Source organism: Homo sapiens, chromosome 11 (genome assembly GCF_000001405.40).
Source record: "Homo sapiens chromosome 11, GRCh38.p14 Primary Assembly".
In the NCBI taxonomy this organism is placed as follows: Eukaryota; Metazoa; Chordata; class Mammalia; order Primates; family Hominidae; genus Homo; species Homo sapiens.
In genome coordinates, this window is record NC_000011.10 from 32,991,235 (window position 1) to 33,012,537 (window position 21,303).

The 21,303-nt window shown below is 41.2% G+C and overlaps 1 long non-coding RNA gene across 2 annotated transcripts in view, besides 3 other annotated features; it reads right to left on the reverse strand.

Annotated features, from left to right (window-relative positions):
• LOC105376615 (uncharacterized) overlaps positions 1 to 21,303 on the reverse strand; it is a 59,453-nt gene that overhangs the window by 34,897 nt on the left and 3,253 nt on the right. For both annotated transcript variants that reach the window (XR_931167.2, XR_931168.2), the window contains exon 2: positions 12,565 to 12,656. This is a non-coding gene — a long non-coding RNA (uncharacterized LOC105376615). The remainder of the gene's footprint in view (positions 1 to 12,564; positions 12,657 to 21,303) is intronic.
• Positions 10,167 to 10,668: an enhancer, noted in NCBI's record as "H3K27ac hESC enhancer chr11:33022947-33023448 (GRCh37/hg19 assembly coordinates)". NCBI's record gives its function as "activates a minimal SCP1, AML or CMV promoter by ChIP-STARR-seq in naive H9 embryonic stem cells {active_cell/tissue: H9 hESC(naive)}" and the evidence as "EXISTENCE:reporter gene assay evidence [ECO:0000049][PMID:30033119]".
• Positions 20,257 to 20,316: an enhancer, noted in NCBI's record as "active region_4569". NCBI's record gives its function as "activates an Ori minimal core promoter by ATAC-STARR-seq in GM12878 lymphoblastoid cells {active_cell/tissue: GM12878}" and the evidence as "EXISTENCE:reporter gene assay evidence [ECO:0000049][PMID:35858748]".
• Positions 20,597 to 20,646: an enhancer, noted in NCBI's record as "active region_4570". NCBI's record gives its function as "activates an Ori minimal core promoter by ATAC-STARR-seq in GM12878 lymphoblastoid cells {active_cell/tissue: GM12878}" and the evidence as "EXISTENCE:reporter gene assay evidence [ECO:0000049][PMID:35858748]".

Genomic DNA, 21,303 nt, shown 5'->3' on the forward strand with positions numbered 1-21,303 from the left:
TCCTGGGTTCAAGCGATTCTTCTGCCTCAGCCTGTAGCTGGGACTATAGGCACATGCCACGACGCCCAGCTAATTTTTGTATTTTTAGAAGAGACGGGGTTTCACCATATTGGCCAGGCTGGTCTCGAACTCCTGACCTTGTGATCTGCCTGCCTTGGCCTCCCAACATGCTGGGATTACAGGCGTGAGCCACCGCATCTGGCTTGCCCCCAGATTCGTAATCCTCCAATCTAATCTGCACACTGTCACCAGAATTTGTCTCCTTGATTACCAGACTGGTCATGATGTGGCCCACCTTATATTTCCTACCTAGTTTCCCATTAGATCTCCCATCTCTATAATTATAGACACAACTCTGAAGCTACACAAGTTTTTTTCTTTGTTTTTGCTGAGCACGCCATTTTAAGCATGCTTTCATGCTTTTATTGACCATATTTCTTCTGCCTACCAAGAAGTCTTCCTCCTCCCCTTCCTCTTCTATCCAGTAAACATCCTTTAACACTCAAGTTTAACATAGCTCCATAGAGAAGACTACTATTTTCCCTCAGACAGTCTGAGAAACTCCTCCTGTGATCCCAAATAATTCTGAGCATCCTGTTTTCTATCACTTCTCACATGGCCATGGAATTGTTTTTAGACATCTTAGCTGTTCCCACCATATGGAAATTGAAAACAGGTAATAGTGTCCTATTTCTCTTTTTATACCTCAATCCTAGCACACTGTTAAGTACATATTAGTTGCCTGATAATGTTTATTTACTTTTAACCTATCCATGTCTTTGAATCTAACCTGTATCTTTTGCAGACAGTATATTGTTGGATCATGCTTTTTTTTAAGCCATTCTGCCAATCTCTGTCTTTTGAGTAGAGTTTTTAATCCATTCATGTTTAATGTCATTATAATAAAGTAGGGTTTCTTTCTGACATTTTGCTATTTGTTTTCTAAAGGTTTATGTCTTTTTTCTTTTTCCATTTTCCATTATTGCCTTTTTTGTGCTAAATAGATTTTCTAGTGTACCATCTTAATTCCCTGAGCTTTATGTTCAGTTTTGAGACAAGGTGTCAATCTGTCACCCAGGCTGGAGTGCAGTGGCCCAATCAGCTCACTGCAGCCTCAAACTCTTGGGCTCAGATGATTCTGCCCCCTCAGCAGCCTCCCAAGTAGCTAGGACTACAGGCACATGTTAACATGTCCAGCCATTTTTTATTTCTATTTTTATTTTGTAGAGATAAGGTCTCACTCTGTTGCTCAGGCTGGTCACAAACTCCTGGTCTCAAGCAATCCTCCTGCCTTAGCCTCCCAAAGCATTGAAATAACAGGTGTGAGTCACTATGCCTGACTCCCTGGGACTTTTAACTATATATTTATTGAATTATTTTCTTAGTGGTTTATCTGTAAATCATCATTAACATCTTAACTTAAAACAGCCTAGTTCAGATTAATGACAATTTCATTTAAATAATATATAAAAACATTTCTCCAACATAGTTCCACTTTGTTCACTTCCCCCTCCTTTGTGCTATTGTTACATAAAATCTATTTTTATACATTGAAAGTCCATCAACGCAGATCAGCACAGTTTTAAAACTACTGATTATTGCCTTATGCAACAAGAGCAACACAGTTTTATAATTACTGACTATTGCTTTATACAATTGTTTTTGTTTTTAGAGATGCGATCTTGCTATGTTCCCCAGGCTGGTCTTAAACTCTGGGGCTCAAGCAATTCTCCCACCTCGGCATCCTGAGGAGTTAGGACTGTAGACACACACCACCAAAACCAGCTTAGTATTGAGTTTTTTTAAATGTGTTGATTCATATTTTTCATCAAATTGTGGTGAATTTTGTCTTTGTTTTGTGCTGCTATATTAAAATATCACAGACTGGGTAGCTTATAAACAACAGAAATTTATTTCTCGTAGTTCTAGAGGCTGGGAAGTCCAAGATCAAGGTACCTGTATCTGGTGACTGTTGAGAGCCTTCTTGCTGTGCCTTAGAATGAAAGAAGGTGGAGGGCAAGGTGATATGAACAATGTGCCTTTACATGGCAAAAGAATGAAAGAAAGTAAACCTATTCCCACAAACCCTTTTTACAGTGGCATTAATCCATTCATGAGGCCAGAGACCTCATGATCTAAATACCTCCCATTAAGCCCCCACTCCCAACACTGTTGCATTGGGAATTAAGTTTCCAACACATACATTTTGGGGAAAATATTCAGACCATGGCATTCTAGTCATTATTTCTTCAAATATTCTTTTAGCTCCTTTCTCTCTCTACTTTCTTTCTTGGCCACCCCATTATGGGCATCTTCATACACCTGATGATGTCCCACAGGTCTCTCAGGCTCTGCTCATTTTCTTCTTTCTTTTTCTTTCTATTCCTCATATTGGATAATTTCAATCAATCTATCTTCAAGTATGCTGATTTTTACTTCTTCCAGCTCAAATATGCTGTTGAGTCCCTCTCGTGAATTTTTCACTTGAGTTATTATGCTTTCAAACTCTTTTTTTTTTTTTTTTTTAAGAGAGTCTTGCTCTGTCGCCCAGGCTGGAGTACAGTGGCGCAATCTCGGCTTACTGCAGCCTCTGCCCCCTGGGTTCAAGTGATTCTCATGCCGCAGCCTCCTGAATGGCTGGGATTACAGGCATGCATCACCACGCCTGGCTAATTTTTGTATTTTCAGTAGAGACGGGGTTTTACCATGTTGGCCAGGCTGGTTTCAAATTCCTGACCTCAAGTGATCTGCCCACCTCAGCCTCCCAAAGTGCTGGGACTACAGGCATGAGCCACTGTGCCCGGCCCCAACTCTATTTTATAATTTCTGTTTCTTGATATCCTGTATTATGTAAGACATTGTTCTCATACATTCCTTTAATTCTTTAAACATCTTTTCTTCTAATTCCATGAATATATTTATAATGGGTGAATTGAAGTCTTTGGGCTTCCTCAGGGTCAGTTTCTACTGATAATTTTTATCCTGTACATTTGTTCTCCTTTCTTATTTCTTTGCATGTCTTAATTTTTGTTGATAATTAAATATTTTAAGCACTATAATGTGGTAAATCTGGATATATACCCACCTCAAGCCAGGTTTTGCTGTAGTTTGTGTTTGTTCTGGTTGCTGCTGTTATTTGTTTAGTAACTTTCCTGGTATAATTCTATAAAGTTTGTAGTATTTACCATGTGTGGCCACAGAAGTCTCTGCTCATTTAGCTTAGTGACCAGCCAATGATTGCACAGACATTTCCTTAAATGCTTTGAACCAATAAGTCTTCTGCCCTTTACCAAGGATCTCTATGTGTGTTTGGGCATGCTATCAATGCTTTGGCAATTTATAACTCTGCCTTCATCTTCACTTCCTTCTTCTGCAGCACCTACAAGTCAGCCAGAGGTGAGAGATTAGAACCTTCTCAGGTTTTTTTCTGGACATGTGTACAGTGTGCAAAATGCACATGGCCTCCAGAATATTCCAGTTTTTCCTGTTGTTGTTATTGTTGTTGTTGAGACAGGGTCTCACTCCTATTGCCCAGGCTAGAGTGTAGTAGGTGCAACTTAGCTCACTGCAGCCTTGATCTCCAGGGTTCAAGTGATTCTCCCATCTCAGCTTCCCGGGTAGCTGGGACTACAGGTGTGTACCACTACAGCTAATTTTTTGTATTTTTAGTACAGATGGGTTTTCGCCATGTTACTCGGGCTGTCTCGAATTCCTGGATTCAAGCGATCCTCCCACCCTGATCTCCCAAAGTGCTGTGATTACAGGCATGAGCCACAGAGGTGTTTTTTTTTATGTCCAACTTTTATTTTAAGTTCAGGGGTACAGGTACAGGATGTACAGGTTAGGTAAACGTGTGCCATGCTGGTTTGTGCACAGATCATCCCATCACCTAGGTATTAAGCCCAGCATCCATTAGCTATTCTTCCTGATGCTCTCCCTCCTTTCACCACCCACCCTCCAACAAGCCCCAGTGAGTGTTGTTTGCCCCCCATGTGTCCATGTGTCCTCATCATTCAGCTCCCACTTATAAGTGAAAACATGTGGTATTTGGTTTTGTGTTCCTGTGTTCATTTGCTGAGGATAAAGGCTTCCAGCTCCATCCATGTCACTTCAAAGGACGTGATCTTGTTCCTTTTTTTGGCTGCAAAGTATTCCGTGGTGTGTATGTACCACATTTTCTTTATTCAGTCTCATTGATAGGCATTTAGGTTGATTTCATGTCTTTGCTATTGTGAATAGTACTGCAATGAACATACATATCCATGTATCTTTATAATAGAATGATTTATAGTCCCCTAGGTATATACCCAGTAATGAATTGCTGGGTCAAATGCTATCTCTACCTGTAGGTCTTTGAGGAATCACCACACTGTCTTCCACAATGGTTGAACCAATTTACGCTTCCACCAACAGTGTAAAAGTGTTCCTTTTTCTCCACAACCTCACCAGCATCTGTTGTTTTTTTGACTTTCTAATAGTAGCCATTCTGACTGGTATGAGATGGTTTCTTATTATGGCTTTGATTAACATTTCCCTAATAAGTAGTGATGTTGAGCTTTTTTTCATGTTTGTTGGATGCATGTATGTCCTCTTTTGAAAAGTGTCTCTTCATGTCTTTTGCCCACTTTTTAATGCGGTTGTTTTTTCTTGTAAATTTGTTTAAGTTCCTTATAGATGCTGGATATTAGACCTTTGTCAGATGGATAGATTGCAAAAATTTTCTCCCATTCTGTAGGCTGTTTACTCTGTTGATGGTTTCTTTTGCTGTGCAGAAGCTCTTTAGTTTAATTAGATTTTGTCAATTTTTGCTTTTGTTGCAATTGCTTTTGGCATCTTCATCATGAAATCTTTGCCCATGCCATATCCTGAATGGCACATTGCCTAGGTTTTCTTCTAAGGTTTTTATAGTTTTTGATTTTACATTTAAGTCCTTAATCCATCTGGAGCTGATTTTTGTAATGTGTTGTAAGGAAGGGGTCAAGTTTCAGTTTTTTGCATATGGCTAGCCAGTTCTCCTAGCACCATTTATTAAGTAGGGAATCTTCTCCTCCTTGCTTGTTTTTGTCAGGTTTGTTGAAGATCAGGTGGTTGTAGGGGCACGGTCTTATTTCTGGGTTCTCTATTCTGTTCCATTGGTTTATGTATCTGTTCTTGTACCAGTACCATATTGTTTTGGCTACTGTAGCCCTGTAGTATAGTTTGAAGTTGGGTAATGCGATGCCTCCAGCTTTGTTCTTTTTGCTCAGGATTTCCTTGGCTATTTGGGCTCTTTTTTGGTTCCATACAAATTTTAAAATAGTTGTTTTCTTATTCTGTGAAGAATGTTAATGGTAGTTTAATGGGAATAGCATTGAATCTATAAATTGCTTTCAGCAGTATGGCTATATTCATGTTATTGATTCTTCTTATCCATGAGTGTGGAACGTTTTTCCACTTGTTTATGTCATCTCTGATTTATTTGAGCAGTGGTTTGTAGCTCTCCTTGAAGAGGTCCTTCACTTCTCTTGTTAGCTGTATTCCTAGGTATTTTTTTTCTTTTTGTGACAATTGTGAATGGGAGTTCATCTGTGATTTGGCTTTTGGCTTGCCTGTTGTTACTGTATAGGAATGCTAGCAATTTTGCACATTGATTTTGTATCCCAAGACTCTGCTTTACTTGCTTATCAGCTTAAGAAGATTTTGGGATGAGATGATGGGGTTTTCTAGACATAGGATCACATCATCTGCAAACAAATTAGTTTGACTTCCTCTCTTCCTACTTGAATATCCTTTACTTCTTTCTCTTGCCTGATTGCTCTGGCCAGAACTTCCAACACTATGTTGAAGGGAGTGGTGAGAGAGGGCATCCTTGTCTTGTACCAGTTTTCAAGGGGAATGCTTCCAGCTTTTGCCCATTCAGTATAATATTGGCTGTGGGTTTGTCATATATGGGTTTTACTATTTTGAGTCATGTTCCTTCAATACCAAGTTTATTGAGAGTTTTTAACAAGAAGGGATGTTGAATTTTATCAAAGGCCTTTTCTGCATTTATTAAGATAATCATGTGGTTTTTGTCTTTAGTTCTGCTTATGTGATGAATGACATTTATTGATTTGCGTATGTTAAACCAACCTTGCATCCTGGGGATGAAGCCCACTTGATCATGGTGGATAAGCTTTTTGATGTGCTGCTGGATTCAGTTTGCCAGTATTTTGCTGAGAATTTCTGCTTCAATGTTCATCAAGGATATTGGCCTGGAGTTTTCTTTTTTTGTTGCATCTCTGCCAGGTTTTGGGATCAGGATGATGCTGGTCCCATAGAATGAGTTAGGGAGGGGTCCCTCCTTTTCAATTTTTTGGAATAGTTTCAGTAGAAACAGTACCAGCTCTTCTTTATGCCTCTGGTAGAATTCAGCTGTGAATCCATCTGGTCCTGGGCTTTTTTGATTGGTAGATTATTTATTACTGCCTCAATTTCAGAACTCGTTATTGGTCTATTTGGTGATTCAATTTCTTTGTGGTTCAGTCTTGGGAGGGTGTATGTGTCTAGGAATTTAACCATTTCTTCTAGATTTCCTAGCTTATGTGCATAGAGGTGTTTATAGTGTTCTCTGATGGTTGTTTATATTTATGTGGGGTCAGTGATGATATTCCCCTTATCATTTCTGATTGTGTTTATTTGAATCTTCTTTTTTTTTGAGATGGAGTCTTGCTCTGTCACCAGACTGGAGTGCAGTGGCGCAGTGGCACGATCTTGGCTCACTGCAACCTCCGCCTCTCGGGTTCAAGCAATTCTCCTGCCTTAGCCTCCCGAGTAGCTGGGACTACAGGTGAGCACCACCACGCTGAGCTCATTTTTGTACTTTTAGTAGAGACGGGGTTTCACCATGTTGGCCAGAATGGTCTCGATCTCTTGACCTCGTGATCTGCCCACCTTGGCTTCCCAAAGTGCTGGGATTACAGGTGTGAGCCACTGCGCCTGGCCCTCTCTTTTCTTCTTTATTAGTCTAGCTAGCGGTCTATCTATTTTATTACTTTCTTCAGAAAAACAGCTCCTGGATTTTTTTATTATTCAAAGGGTTTTTCATGTCTCTATCTCCTTCAGCTCAGCTCTCATCTTCGTTATTTCTTGTCTTCTGCTAGCTCTGGGGTTTGTTTGCTCTTGGTCCTCTAGTTCTTTTAGTTGTGATGTTATGTTGTTCACTTGAGATCTTTCTAGCTTTTCAATGTGGGCATTTAGTGCTATATATTTTCCTCTTAACACTGCTTTAGCTGTGTCCCAGAGATTCTGGTACATTGTTTCTTTGTTCTCATTAGTTTCAAAGAACTTCTTAATTTCTGCCTTAATTTCATTATTTATCCAAAAGTCATTCAGGAGCAGGTTGTTCAATATCCATGTACTTGTGTGGTTTTGAGTGAATTTCTTAATCATGAGTTCTAATCTGATTGACCATTGGTCCTGAGAGATTGTTATGATTTCAGTTATTTTGCATTTGCTCAGGGTTGTTTTGCTTCCAATTATGTGATCAATTTTATAGTAAGTGCCGTGTACCAATAAGAAGAATGTATATTCTGTTGTTTTTGGGTGGGGAGTTCTGTGGATATTTATCAGGTCAACTTGATCCAGGTCCTGAATATCTCTGTTAATTTTCTGTCTTGATGATCTGTTTAATATAGTCAGGCAGCTTTGTTAAAGTCTCCCTCTATTATTGTGTATGAGTCTAATCTTTGAAGGTTTCTAAGAACTTGCTTTATGAATCTGGGTGCTCCTATATCAAGTGCATATATATTTAGGATAGTTACTCTTTTGTTGAACTGAACCCTTTTCCATTATGTAATGCCCTTCTGTCTTTTCTTTTTTGATCTTTGTTGGTTTAGAGTCTGTTTTGTCAGAAACTAGGATTGCAATCCGCTTTTTTCTGTTTTCCATTTTCCTCCATCCCTATATATGTCTTTGCATGTGAGATGGGTGTCGTGTCTTGAAGACAGCATACTGATGGGTCTTGGTTCTTTTTTTTTTTTTTTTTCTCTGTCGCCCATGCTGGAGTGCAATGGCACAATCTCGGCTCACTGCAAGCTCCGCCTCCTGGGTTCACGCCATTCTCCTGCCTCAGCCTCCCAAGTAGCTGGGACTACAGGTGCCTGCTACCACACCCAGATAATTTTTTTTGTATTTTTAGTAGAGACGGGGTTTCACCGTGTTAGCCAGGATGGTCTCGATCACCCGCCTCGGTGTCCCAAAGTGCTGGGATTACAGGGGTGAGCCACCGCACCCGGCCGGGTCTTGGTTCTTTATCTAGCTTGCCACTCTGTGTCCGGAGTCTCGCTCTGTCACCCAGGCTGGAGTGCAGTGGCATGATCTCAGCTCACTGCAACCTCTGCCTGCTGGGTTCAAGTGATTCCCCTGCTGCAGCCTCCTGAGTAGCTGGGACTATAGGTGCGCACCACCATGCCCAGCTAACCACTCTCTGTCTTTTGATTGGGGCATTTAGCCCATTTTCTCCCTTGCCTATGAAGCTTAGTTTGGCCAGATATGATATTCTGGGTTGGAAATTCTTTTCTTTAAGAATGTTGGATATTGGCCCCTAATCTCTTTTCACTGAGAGGTCTGCTGTTAGTTTGATAGGATTCCCTTTGTAGGTAACCTGGCCTTTCTCTCTGGCTGCCCTTAACAGTTTTTCTTTCATTTAGATCTTGGAGAATCTGATGATTATATGTCTTGAGGATGATCTTCTTGTGGAGTATCTTATCTTACTGGGGTTCTCTGCATTTCCTGGATTTGAATGTTGGTTTGTCTTGCTAGGTTGGGGAAGTTCTCCTGGATGATATCCTGAAGTATGTTTTCCAAATTGGTTCCATTCTTCCTGTCTCTTTCAAGTACCCCAATCCATCATAGATTCGATCTCTTTACATAATCCCATATTTCTTGGAGGTTTTGTTCATCCCTTTTCGTTCTTTTTTCTCTATTCTTGTCTGCCTGTCTTATTTCAGAAAGATAGTCTTCAAGCTCTCAGATTCTTTCCTCTGCTTGGTCTATTCTGCTATTAATACTTGTGATTGCACTGTGAAGTTCTTGTAGTGTTTTTTTCAGCTCTGTTGGGTCAGTTATGTTTCTCTTTAAACTGGCTATTTTGGCTGTCAGCTTCTGCATTGTTTTATCATGAGTCTTAGCTTCCTGGCATTGGGTTACAACATGCTCCTTCAGCTCAGTGAAGTTCATTTTTATCCACATTCTGAAGCCTCCTTTTGTCATTTCAGTCATCTCAGCCTCAGCCTAGTTCTTAGCCCTTGCTGGAGAGGTGTTGTGGTCATTTGGAGGAAAAGGGACACTCTGTCTTTTTGAATTTTCAGAGTATTTGCATTGATTCTTTCTAATCTTTGTGGACTTATCTACCTTCAATCTTTGAGGTTGCTGACCTTTGCGTGGGGTTTTTGTGGGTATTGTCATTGTTGTTGTTGTTTTCTCTTTTAACAGTCTGGCCACTCTTCCATAGGGCTGCTGTGGTTTGCTGGGGGTCTGCCCCAGACCTTAGTTGCCTCAGTTTTTCCTGTACCTGGAGACATCACCAGTGAAGACTGCGAAACAGCAAAGATGGCAGCCTACCCCTTCCTCTGGAAGCTTCGTCCCAGGGGGTACTGACCTGTTGCCAGCCTGAAGGCACCTATAGGAGGTGGCTGGAGACCCCAATTGGAGGTCTCACCCAGTTAGGAGAAATGGGATAAGGGGCCCTCTTAAAGAAGCAGTCTAGCTGCTTTTTGGTAGAGCAACTGTGCTGTGTTGCGGATCCCTTTGGTCCCCAATTGATTTGGGCCCATAGGCTGGACTGTCTGATAACCCTAAACAGCCAAGGTGGCAGCCTGCCCTGCTCCCCAGGGACTCTGTCCCAGGGAGAAATTAAGCTTGGTTGGCAGTAGAACATGGGCAGAGGTGGCTGGAGGCCCTCGCTGGGAGGACCTGCCCATAAGGAGGAGTGGATCAGGGTCCCACTTAAAGAAGCATTCTGGCCATACTTCAATAAGATAGCCTTGTTGTGCTGGGAACTGCCTCTGCTCCATCATCTTGGACTCTCCAAAGCCCGCAGGCTGGAATGGCTGAGTCGTCCAGGCAACTCAGGTGGTGGCCCTCTCCTCCCACAGGCATTCTGTCCCAGGGACAGATCAGATCTCTGTCCATAGAAAATGCATGGGGCTGGTTGGAGGGCCTTACTGGGAAGTCTCACCCAGTGAAGAGAAATGGACTGGAGTCCGGCTTAAAGAAGCAGTCTGGTCACAATCTGACAAAGCAGCTGTGCTGAGCTGAGCTTGTCCGGACTGTTTGGACTCTCCAAAGCCCGCAGGCTGGAATGGTTGAGTCAACCAAACAGCAGAGATGGTGGCTGCCCCTCCCGCTGAGGGCTCTATTCCATCTCCAGCAGGCTCTACCCTATTGCCAGTGGCTGGCTGCAATTCAAGTCAGTGGGTCTTATCTTGTAAGGTGTTGTGGAAGTGGGGCCCGCAGAACTACATTGCTTGGCTCCATGGATTCAGCTCCCTTCCTAGGGATATGTACAGGCCTCCCACCTTGCCAGGGATCCTGGGGCCAGAGTATATAAAACTCCTGGGTCTCTGCATGTGCCTGAGTGGCTGCTCTGCTGAGACGCCACACAGCTCTGTGTATCAGACCCAAGGCCCTGGTGGTGTGGGCTCACGAGGGGATCTCCTGATCCACAGGTTGCAAAGATCCGTGGGAGAAGCACGGTTTCCCAGGGCCACACAATCACTCACCACTTCCCTCAGCTAAGGGTGAGGGTTCCCTTGGCTTTGTGTCACTCCCAGGTGGGCCGTTGCCCCACCCTGCCTGAGTTGTTCCCCTGACCAGTCTCAATGAGAGTACCTGAATATTTCAGTTGAAGGTGCTGTATTTACTTGCCCCTTTCATTCCTCTCCATGAGTGCTGCGGACCGCAGCTGCTTCTAATACACCATCTTGGCCACCAGCCCCACAGAATTTTTCAAAGCCCCTATGGACATCTCACTTGCTAGATTTTCCTTTTAAGTTTTTTTTTAGCCAGCTTCTTGTTTGCCCCAACTGATATAACCATTTCAGGCCACGGCTGCTAGGCTGCTGCTTTTCACAGATACTGTGGTTTCAAGATTGCTGGGTTTCAAGACTACCATGGAGCTGGGGAGGGGGGAATTGACATAGGGCAAGTTAAACACTACAAATCTCACTGTCTGAGATTTCACCATTTTTCTTCAATAAGCACTCCTCAGATTGTTAAATGTCTTTGGTTTTTTCTAGAGTTCTGAAAAACTAGAGAATGTCTGCCAGTGATCTTATTGCTTTTATGGAGAAATAAGTTTTTGGAAGTCCTTACTCTGTCATTCTGAAAGTGCTTCCCAATAAATGTTTATTTAATTATGAGGAATTACACTACATGGAGGCTTCACTTACAGTCTCATAACACACACACACACACACACACACACACACACCAGAAAACAAGATTTACAAAGGAAGCAAAATTGCAGTTCCAATCCAAAATTGTCCAAGTCCTAATTTATAAGTTTCTTTTTAATATTTACTTAATTTACTTCTATTAGGCTGTCTTAATTATTTATGCCATTTATTAAAATCCCACCACTACAGATCGTTAGTTACAGACCTTAGCTAAAAACATAGGAAGAATGCCCAATTTCACACATCCAAATGACCCTTTATATTTCCAAAGGCCTTGTCAAATATTTTGGTCAATGACCCAAAGAAATGTAAACTAAAAGTAACAGGTATTTAAATACCACAAAAATGCTAATATGAATTACTTTGAAAAAATATATATATATTTATTTAAATGGTTAAGTGAATTTCAGTATATTTATGTGATAAAAGAATGCCTAGCCTATAAAAATGTTTTATTAAAAAGTTTGTAATATGTTCTAGCATTAAGCAAAAAATGTAAATGCAAAATTTTATATCCAGTATGACCTCAATTGCATAACACATCATTTAAAAGAATTTTTTAATGCCTTAAATGTTAATAATGCTTATTTCTAAATATTCTAAATAGTGAAATTTTTCTTTTTTCTTTTCTTTTTTTTTGAGATGGAATCTTGCTCTGTCACTAGGCTGGAGTGCAGTGGCACAATCACGGCTCACTGCAACCTCCGCCTCTCAGGTTCAAGTGATTCCCCTGCCTCAGCCTCTTCAGTAGCTGGGATCACAGGCACCCACCACCACACCCAGCTAATTTTTGTATTTTTAGTAGAGACAGGGTTTCACCATGTTGGCCAGTCTGATCTCGATCTCTTGACCTCATGATCTGCCTGCCTCGGCCTTCCAAAGTGCTGGCATTAGAGGCGTGAGCCACCGGGCCGGCTCTGAAATTTTTCATTATACATTTCTTTCATTTCAAATGTTCTACAATATGCAGTTATTTCTATATTAAGCAATAAAAAAGTAAACTCTTAAAATTTGCTTAAAACACAACTCCTTTCCTTTCCCAACTTTCAATCATAATGCTGGCTGACCACGGAGAGCTGGAGAAACAGTTATCTACCAAGTTACCATTTGTTAATGGCAGAGCCAGGACTAGAAACAATCCTCTTACCTACAAGTCCTCATACGTCTCTGGCTGGAGCGAGCAGGTTCTTCTGTCTGTGCCCATTGGTGTTTTCAGGTTGCTGGCTTCTTCAGCTTTGTCTGGATATATAAGGTAAAAGAAAACTTATCACCACGTCATTCTCGGGTCCCAAGGCCTGTCTTGGGTCTTGAGGCTGTGCCTCGGTCTGTCTTCTCTTCTCCATCCTTCAGAGTCCAGGTATGTTTGTTTTATAGATAGTAACTAGGGTTTTTAGTTGTACTTAGTAGAAGGAATGGGGAAATGTATTTCTATTACATCTTCCTAGAAGCAGAAGTCTGTACCTAATTTTGAATTTGTACTTTTATCAAAACTGCTACCACTGTCATTGTCATTGTTTTCATAGTCCTCTCTTGCCCCTCCCCCCCTTCCCCTCTTTTTTTTTCTCCCTTCCCTTCCTTATTTTTGTTTTTCTGTTTTTTAAAAGCCAGTCAAATTTAGCAGTGGGGGGCTATAAACCAATTTTAGTAACATTAATGTTAATAAATTCTGATAATCCACTCCCATCAGACCAACCTTTCTTCTTTTTTCAAAGATGGCCCACAAATTTGTAGTAAGTTTCAGGCTCCACAGAACCTGAATCCACCTCTGGTATCTGGCACATTATAAGACCTCAATAAATATGTTTTGAATGCATAAATGATTAGACTCCATATAAGGAACTCATGAAATTATAGTAATAGATGGTGAATCCTAGAAAAAAATGGTTCCCTTGAAACACTGAAAAATTACAAGGAACAAAAATCTAATTTGAAACACCTCACAAGCAGTGAAGATAACCAGGTATCTGCAGTATCTTGATATTTTGGGTAATGCCTTTAGGCTTTGGTGGAAAAAAAACACAAAAAAACAAAAAGAATTTCCAGGAAAAAAAAAAAACAGCTAAATGGTGATGCATTAAGGATGCTGCTTAAGGGTTCTGAGGTGTAGTTATTACCACTGCAAGATTTCACCTTTCCTCTAAACCCTCATGTAAGTCTCACTGATCATCTATTCCAGCAGCCCCCAATCTACCTGCATACTGAAATCACTTAGAGAGCTTATTCCTAAGTGCAGAAGAGATGGAAAACTTTTGAACACATGCCTACCAGGAATTATTGGAAGTATATACCTCAGGATTTTCAAGCACCAATTTATAACTGGCCCCTGCCAAACTACAAGTGAAAAGGCCAAATGAACTTAATAAACAAAGGGGAAAAAATCTGCATCAATAAAGAGGATGTCAACCAAATGCTCCACATTTTAAAATGTCTGCTAAACAGAGTATTGAATCACACCAGAGTGAAAAAAGACACCAGATCTGATGTTTAACTTCTCTTGCAAAGAAAGCAGGATATTTGTATGGGAAGTAAATATAGATTTGACAGAATCTAACTATCAACCCCTAACTTAAAGGAATAATGAGAGGCAGAAAGGATAGGTCACACGACTTTAGGGGGCAGTCCAACTGACACACCCTCTCCAAACTCAAAAGGCCTTTGAAAGTCACAGGAGTTGGAAGGCCTGAGTCTAAGCATGCCCACATCAAACACCAGCCAACAGGTGAAAGGGTGTTTCCTCACCCAGGAGGAAATTACAACAGGAAAGACAATGAAAACACCATATATATATGAGTGAAAGCTAGACCACATGAAAAGCTGGAAAGCTGATCCTGATACAGAGATTTTACCAAACATAAGAAAGAAACTCTGAGGACGTTAGACTGTAGACCTGGTCATGTAAATTTATGCCAATGTGCTCTCTGGCCAAAGATCTGAGAGAAGGTACTCAACAACACAACAATGTATAATGTGGGGACCCAAGGAGGATCTCTTTCTCCTATTTTTAAGCAAAATTAGACTTGTATAGACCTCTCCTCTTTCAAGAAAGAAAGAAAAAAAAAACTCAAAATGGAACTTGTGGGACAATTCTGCAATGTAAGAAATCCTGGTAGCAAAGGGAAAATCATCTGCTTTTCATTCCTTATTGCATCAAAGATTCACTGCATGCCTACTGTATGCCAGGCACTGTTCTAGGTGCTTGGGATACGTCATGAGTCTTGACCACATGGAGATTATATTGGGAGAGGGAGAGGACAGACAGTAAAAAATAGATATGATAATTTTTTTAAGTCAGTATATGTATTGAAAGGGATAAGAAACGTGGAAAAGAGAAGAAGACCAGGATACGGAGTATCTGGAGTGCTGAGGGGTAGCTGTGGGAGGTGGGATCATGGTTGCAATATTTACACAGGATTCTTAAGGAAGTCCTCATTGATAAGGTGACATTTGAACCAGGATTTGAAGAATATGAGTTAGCCATGGTTATTGGAAGAAAGAAAATTTAAGGCAGAGTGAACAGATGTCTGGAGGCCTTAAAGGTAGCAATGTGTGCCTGAGGTGTTAACAGATAAGGAAGCTAATGTGGCTGGAATGGAATGAGGGAAGGGTAGTTAGGCAGTCTTTGCTGGGTTTTGAACCAAAAAGAATAATAATCAGACTTAATTTTTTTTGTTTTGTTTTGCTTTTTTGAGACAAGTTCTCACTCTCTTGCCCAGGCTGGCAATGATGGCTGACTCCAGCCTCCACCTACAGGGCTCAAGTGACCCTCCTACCTCGGTCTCCCAGGCAGCCTGAACTACAGGCGTACACCAACATGCCCAGCTAATTTTTGTCTTTCTTGTAGAGATGGGGCTTCCCCATGTGGCCCAGGATGGTCTCCGTGACTTATGTTTTAAGGACTACTCTTGCTGCTTTGTTAGGAAACTAAAAAGGGTGGCATAACAAGGAAAAAAAGCAAGAAGACCAATTAGGAAGGTACTGCAGTAATCTGGGTAAGAGGTGACTGTTACTCAGGCCAGGGTGGTAGGAATACACGTTGTGGGACATGGTCAGATTCCTCATGAACTGGGTGGAGGGTATGAGAGAAAGAGAGGAGTCAAGAATAACTCCAAGTTTTTTTGCCTGAACTACTAGAGTGGAAGCTGCCTTTAACTGAGCTGGAGAAAGTTTCCCGTGGAGCAGACCTAGAAGGGAAAAATAAGTAGTTCAGTGTGGGACCATGTTAAGTTTGGGATGCCTACTGGCCATCCAAGTGGAGATGTAGTGGAGTTGGCAGTAGGATAATGAGGGTGAAGTTCAAAGAAAGGTTTAGAGTACAGATATAATTTTGGGAGTGTTCAAATATTTTGATTGATTGGTTGAGACTGGGTCTCATTGTGTCACCCAGGCTGGAGTGCAGTGGCACGATCATGGCTCATTGCAGCCTCTATCTCCTGGGCTCAGGCAATCCTCTCACCTCAGCCTCCCAAGTAGCTGGGACTACAGGTGTGTGCAACCATGCTCAGCAAACTTTTTATTTTTAGTAGAGATGGGTTTTGACATGTTCCCCAGGCTGGATGGCTAATTTTTTATTTTTTGTAGAGACAGGGTCATACTGTCGCTCAGGCTGATCGCAAACTTCCAGCCTCAAGTGATCCTCCTGCCTCAGACTCCAAAGTGTTGGGATTAGAGTCATGGGCCACCATATCCAGTCGGTTTTAAAAACCACAAGACTGAATAAGATCACTGAGGGAGTGAATAGAGGACAAAAGACTGAGCCCTGGGACACTTCAACATTAATAGGCAGGGAGAAGAGGAGATGTCAAAGGAAAGGAGACCAAGAAATAACAACCAGCAAGATAAAAGAAATCCTCAGAATCATGTTCTGGAAGCCAAGTACTCAGCTCTGAGTGTGTGGCTATGGCTCTCAACTATAGTTATTCTGTTTTTTGTTTGTTTGCATGTTTGTTTTTGAAATAGGGTCTTGCTCTTTGCCTAGGCTAGAGTACAATGGTGTGATCACGGCTCACTGTAGAACTATGGTTATTCTTGACTGGATATTGACTGTTGGACAATTTATTAACAGTAACTCAAATTCTTCTTCTTCTTCTATTTTTTTTTTGACACAGGATCTTTCTCTGTTGCCCAGGCGAAAGTGCAGTGGCATGATCTCAGCTCACTGCCACCTCCACCTCCTGGGTTCAAGCGATTCTTGTGCCTCATCCTCCCGAATTGCTTGGATTATGGGTGTGCACCACCACGCCCAGCTAATTTTTGAATTTTTAGTAGATATGGGGTTTTGCTATGTTGGCCAGGCTGACCTAAAGCTTCTGGCTTAAGTGATCCGCCCACTTCACCCTCCCAAAGTGCCAGAATTACAGATGTGAGCCATGTGCCTGGTCTCTTTTTTTTTTTTAAGGGAAGTCAAATACCTATGGGCCAGGCACGGTGGTTCACACTCGTCATCCCTGCACTCTGGGATGCCAAGGTAGGAGGATTGCTTGGGCTCAGGAGTTCAAGACCAGCCTGGCCAACATAGAGAGATCCTGTCTCTACAAAATGTTTTTTAAAAAGTTAGCTGGGTGTGGTGGTGCATGCCTGTAGTCCTAGCTACTTGGGAGGCATCACTGGGAGGACTGCTTGAGCCCAGGCATTCAAGGCTGCAGCAAGCTATTATCCTGCCGCATACTCCCGCCTGGGTGACAGAGGGAGACCCTGTCTCAAATAAATAAATCAATATCTGAAATTTTTTAAAATTTTTGTAGCTTTAAATATTCAGTAGTAATTTTTCAGACTTTACATGTTAGCTCAAAAGAAAAATAAAGCTATATCTATTTTGTAAGGTGAAAAGCAGAAACTCCATTTGTAAAAGAGAAAATAATTGATCTAAGCCAAATTCTGGGGGCCTCAATAAAATTACAATTGTCATAGTTTATTTATTAGTTTACCAGCTCAAAATGTCACAGAACTTTACTGTAGACATTATGTTGTAAATATTGGTCATCATATCTATTAGTTTGTAATTAATTGAAGCTTGTATAAAACAAAAGAGTAAAACAGACCTTTAATGTACCCCATGAGAAGGGTCATTATTCATTTATGACTTATACAAAGGTAAAAGGGGGTGGACCACGGATAACTGGAATACTTGTGCAAAATACCTATGGTGAATATGATTTATTCTAATTCTTCCATAGCACCCATAGATTCAAACAAATAAGAAAACTTTTAAAGTCTTGTATTCGAAATTATATGAGGGGTAATTCATTATTAAGACTAATTTATTCTTCAGTCTTCTATGATTTAAATATACATGTACAAGTAAACATGTACAGAAATTAACACTAAAGATTTTATGCTTCTTTCTGAAGAAAACTTAGGATATACCATTATATCAAATAAATATATAGTATACAGAAAATTGTATATTTGAAATTTTTTAAATTGAAACTTACTGTATCTAAAATAAATACTTTATTTATTCAGGCATTCACAAAAATTATTGCGAGCCAATTATGAACCAGATTCTGAACTAATAACTACTAAGGATATAGCAGTGACGAGAAAAGATAAAAATCTCTCCTGTCTTGGGATTTACATTCTGTGAAAAAAATCCTTATTAGGTAAAAGGAAACTTTATGAGGTGTTAAGAAGAATATCCCTCAAAATGTGCTTCTTTGAAATTCTGTATTGTAATCATCTGCAGTGTATGTTAAAAATGATGCGGGGGGTGGGGGCAGGGCCGGGCGTGGTGGCTCACACCTGTAATTCCAGCACTTTGGGAGGCCAAGGTGGGTGGGTTTGAGACCAGCCTGGCCAACACGTGAAACTCCATCTCTACCAAAAATACAAAAATTAGCTGGGCGTGGTGGTACACACCTGTAATCCCAGCTACTCGGGAGGCTGAGGCAGGAGAATCACTTAAACCTGGGAGATGGAGGTTACAGGGAGCTGAGATCGTGCCATTGCACTACAGCCTGGGCAACAGAGCAAGACTCCATCTCAGGGGAAAAAAAAAATGATGCAGGGGCCAGGCGCTGTGGCTCATGCCTATAATCCCAGCACTTTGGGAGGCCAAGGCGATTACCCCTCATATAATTGCTTGAGCTCAGGAGTTCAAGACCAGCAGGGGCAACAAAGTGAGACCCTGTCTCTATAAAAAATACAAAAATTAGTCAGGCTAATTTTACTCGGGAGGCTGAGGTGGGAGGATGGCTTGAGCCTGGGAGGCAGAGGTGTGGTAGTGAGCCAAGATCACACCACTGCACTCTAGCCTGGGCAACAGAACCAGACCCGGTCTCAAAAAAAAAAAAATATGCAGACCAGGCACAGTGGCTCATGCACTTTGGGAGGCCAAGGGGGAAGATCTCTTGAGCCTAGGAGTTCAAGACCAGCCTAGGCAACGGAGCAAGAACCCGTCTCTACAAAAGAAGGTTAAAAAAACTAGAAAAAAATAGGCAGGCATGGTGGTACATGACTGTAGTCTCAGCTACTTGGGAGGCGAAGGTGGGAAGATCACTTGAGCCTGGGAGGTTGAGGCTGCAATGAACTGTGATCAAGCCACTGCACTCTGGCCTGGAAGACAGAATGAGACCCTGTCTCAAAAAAAGAAAAAAAAAGATGCAAATTTGTGTATTTTATCACAACGGAAGAGAAAACAACAGAGATTCTCAGGGTTTCTACCCCAGAAGTAGTAAATCAGAACACAGTGTGGGGGACAGAAAGCTACATTTTTAATGGCTTCTATACACACTATCATTAGAAAACTTTCTCTTTGAATGTGTTTTTGAGTATTTCTAAAGTCTTCATAGACCCAGGGTCTTTGAGTGCATCTAAAAGGCCATCATAAGGACATCCAAATCTAAATTATATCTTCCAAATTATGAGCAGATGGATGTAAACCTGTTGAAATGCAGTCATTTGAACAAATGTGTACCAAATAATGCAAACTATCTCTGAGAAAAATCTTCTTTCTTAAGGGACAGAAGAGAATATTTTCAGTGTGGTGTATATTTAATATTGAAAGCCTGGGCAACAAAGTGAGATCTCTTTTCTGCAAAAAATTTTTGAAAATTTAGCCGGGCATGGTGGTGCACTACTACAGGCGTGACTATAGCTACTCGGGTGGCTGAGGTGGGATGATCACTTGAGGTGCAGCCGGGGAGGTTAAGGCTGCAGTGAGCTGTGTTCACACCACTGCACTCCAACCTGAGTGACAGAGCAAGACCTTGTCTCAATAAAAAAAAAAAAAAAGTAAAGATATAAAAATAAAAAAGTCAGCCTCAAGGCTAGTATCAAGGCTACCTTTGCCCTTCCAAATACATCCATCATGTAATGTACTATTGCTCAAAATTTATTTGATGGAGGAAAATCTTGCTATGTATCATCCTTTCTAGAAAACAGGTTTTATTCCCTTCTGTTTTCAGTGCCCAGTTGCCCTACCATTTGGCACCAAAATTGGGAGTGTATATGAGAGGGGCAAGTTTCCTAAACTCAAATAGTCTACTACTATGGCAATTTTTGGTAGGTTGAGCCTTGATTAGGGTATAAGCCTAAATTTTTTTTTTGTTTTGTTTCTGTTTTTTTTTTTTGTTTTTTTTTTTTTTTTGAGACACGGTCTTGCTCTGTTGCCCAGGCTGGAGTGCAGTGGCATGACCTTGGCTCACTGCAACCTCTGCCTCCTGGGTTCAAGCAATTCTCCCTGCCTCAGCCTCCTGAACAGCTGGGATTACAGGCGCCCACCACACACTTGGCTAATTTTTGCATTTTTTAGTAGAGACGGGGTTTTGCCATGTTGGCCAGGCTGGTCTTGAACTCCTGACCTCAGGTGATCCACCCACCTCAGCCTCCCAAAGTGTCGGGATTACAGGCATGAATCACTGCACCTGGCCTGAGCCTGAAATTTGAGTCAGCAAAAATATGAGATGGAAATTTAAAGATTACAACTTGGATGTTTTAACAGTGAAAGGATGATATTATATTGCCATCTTAATAACAAAGTTAAAAAAACTATGGAAGAGTTTTTACTCATCACTGTTTTACAGTGCCACAGAAACAGGAAGTGGGTTGGTGGTTTTTTAAACATTTTTTTGGGTGAATTTTGGATTGCACCAGAACAGACTAGTGAATCATAAACTTTCTGCTCTGTTTCCTACCTCTTGATAGGTTTAGACAAGTTTGATCTTAGACAAGCTTAGATCAAGTGAAGTTTTTCCCATATGCTAAACATATACTGACTTGACACACTTGTTGGTGAAATAATCAATAAAAGTGGTTTTAAAGCACTCTGTAAGTGAAAATAAAAAATACTATGCAAAGATTACAGCTTGGGTGTATGCTGCTGGTAGTTTTATGGCACTGAAAACAAAAAAGGCCAAAGTCTTTGCAGCTGTGCACTGATTAATCAGAAAGGGATGAAAGAAATTTCCTTTCACGTCATAAACTGTGTGATTGTGATACTTGTTAGTTATGAAAGGGTTTTTGTTTTTGTTTTTGTTTTTGTTTTGAGACAGGGTCTCATTCTGTCACGCAGGCTGGAGTGCAGTGGCACGATCTTGACTTACTGCAACCTTTACCTCCCTGGGCTCAAGCGATCCTCCCACATCAGCCTCCAAAGTAGTTGGAACTACAGGCGCACACCACCATGCCCTGCTAATTTTTTGTATTTTTTTGTAGAGATGGGGTTTCGCCATGTTACCCAGGCTGGTCTCAAACTCCTGGATTCAAGCAATCCACCTGCTTCAACTTCGCAAAGTGCCGGGATTATAGGCATGAGCCACCACCCAGGTGGGATTTTTAAAAGAACTTTTTCTATTAGAAGTTACTAAACTTTAAACTTTAAAAAGTAGGAAACTGATATTTTTTAAAGCTCTGTATTTTGATGGGGACAATCAGAGCATCTACTATTTGC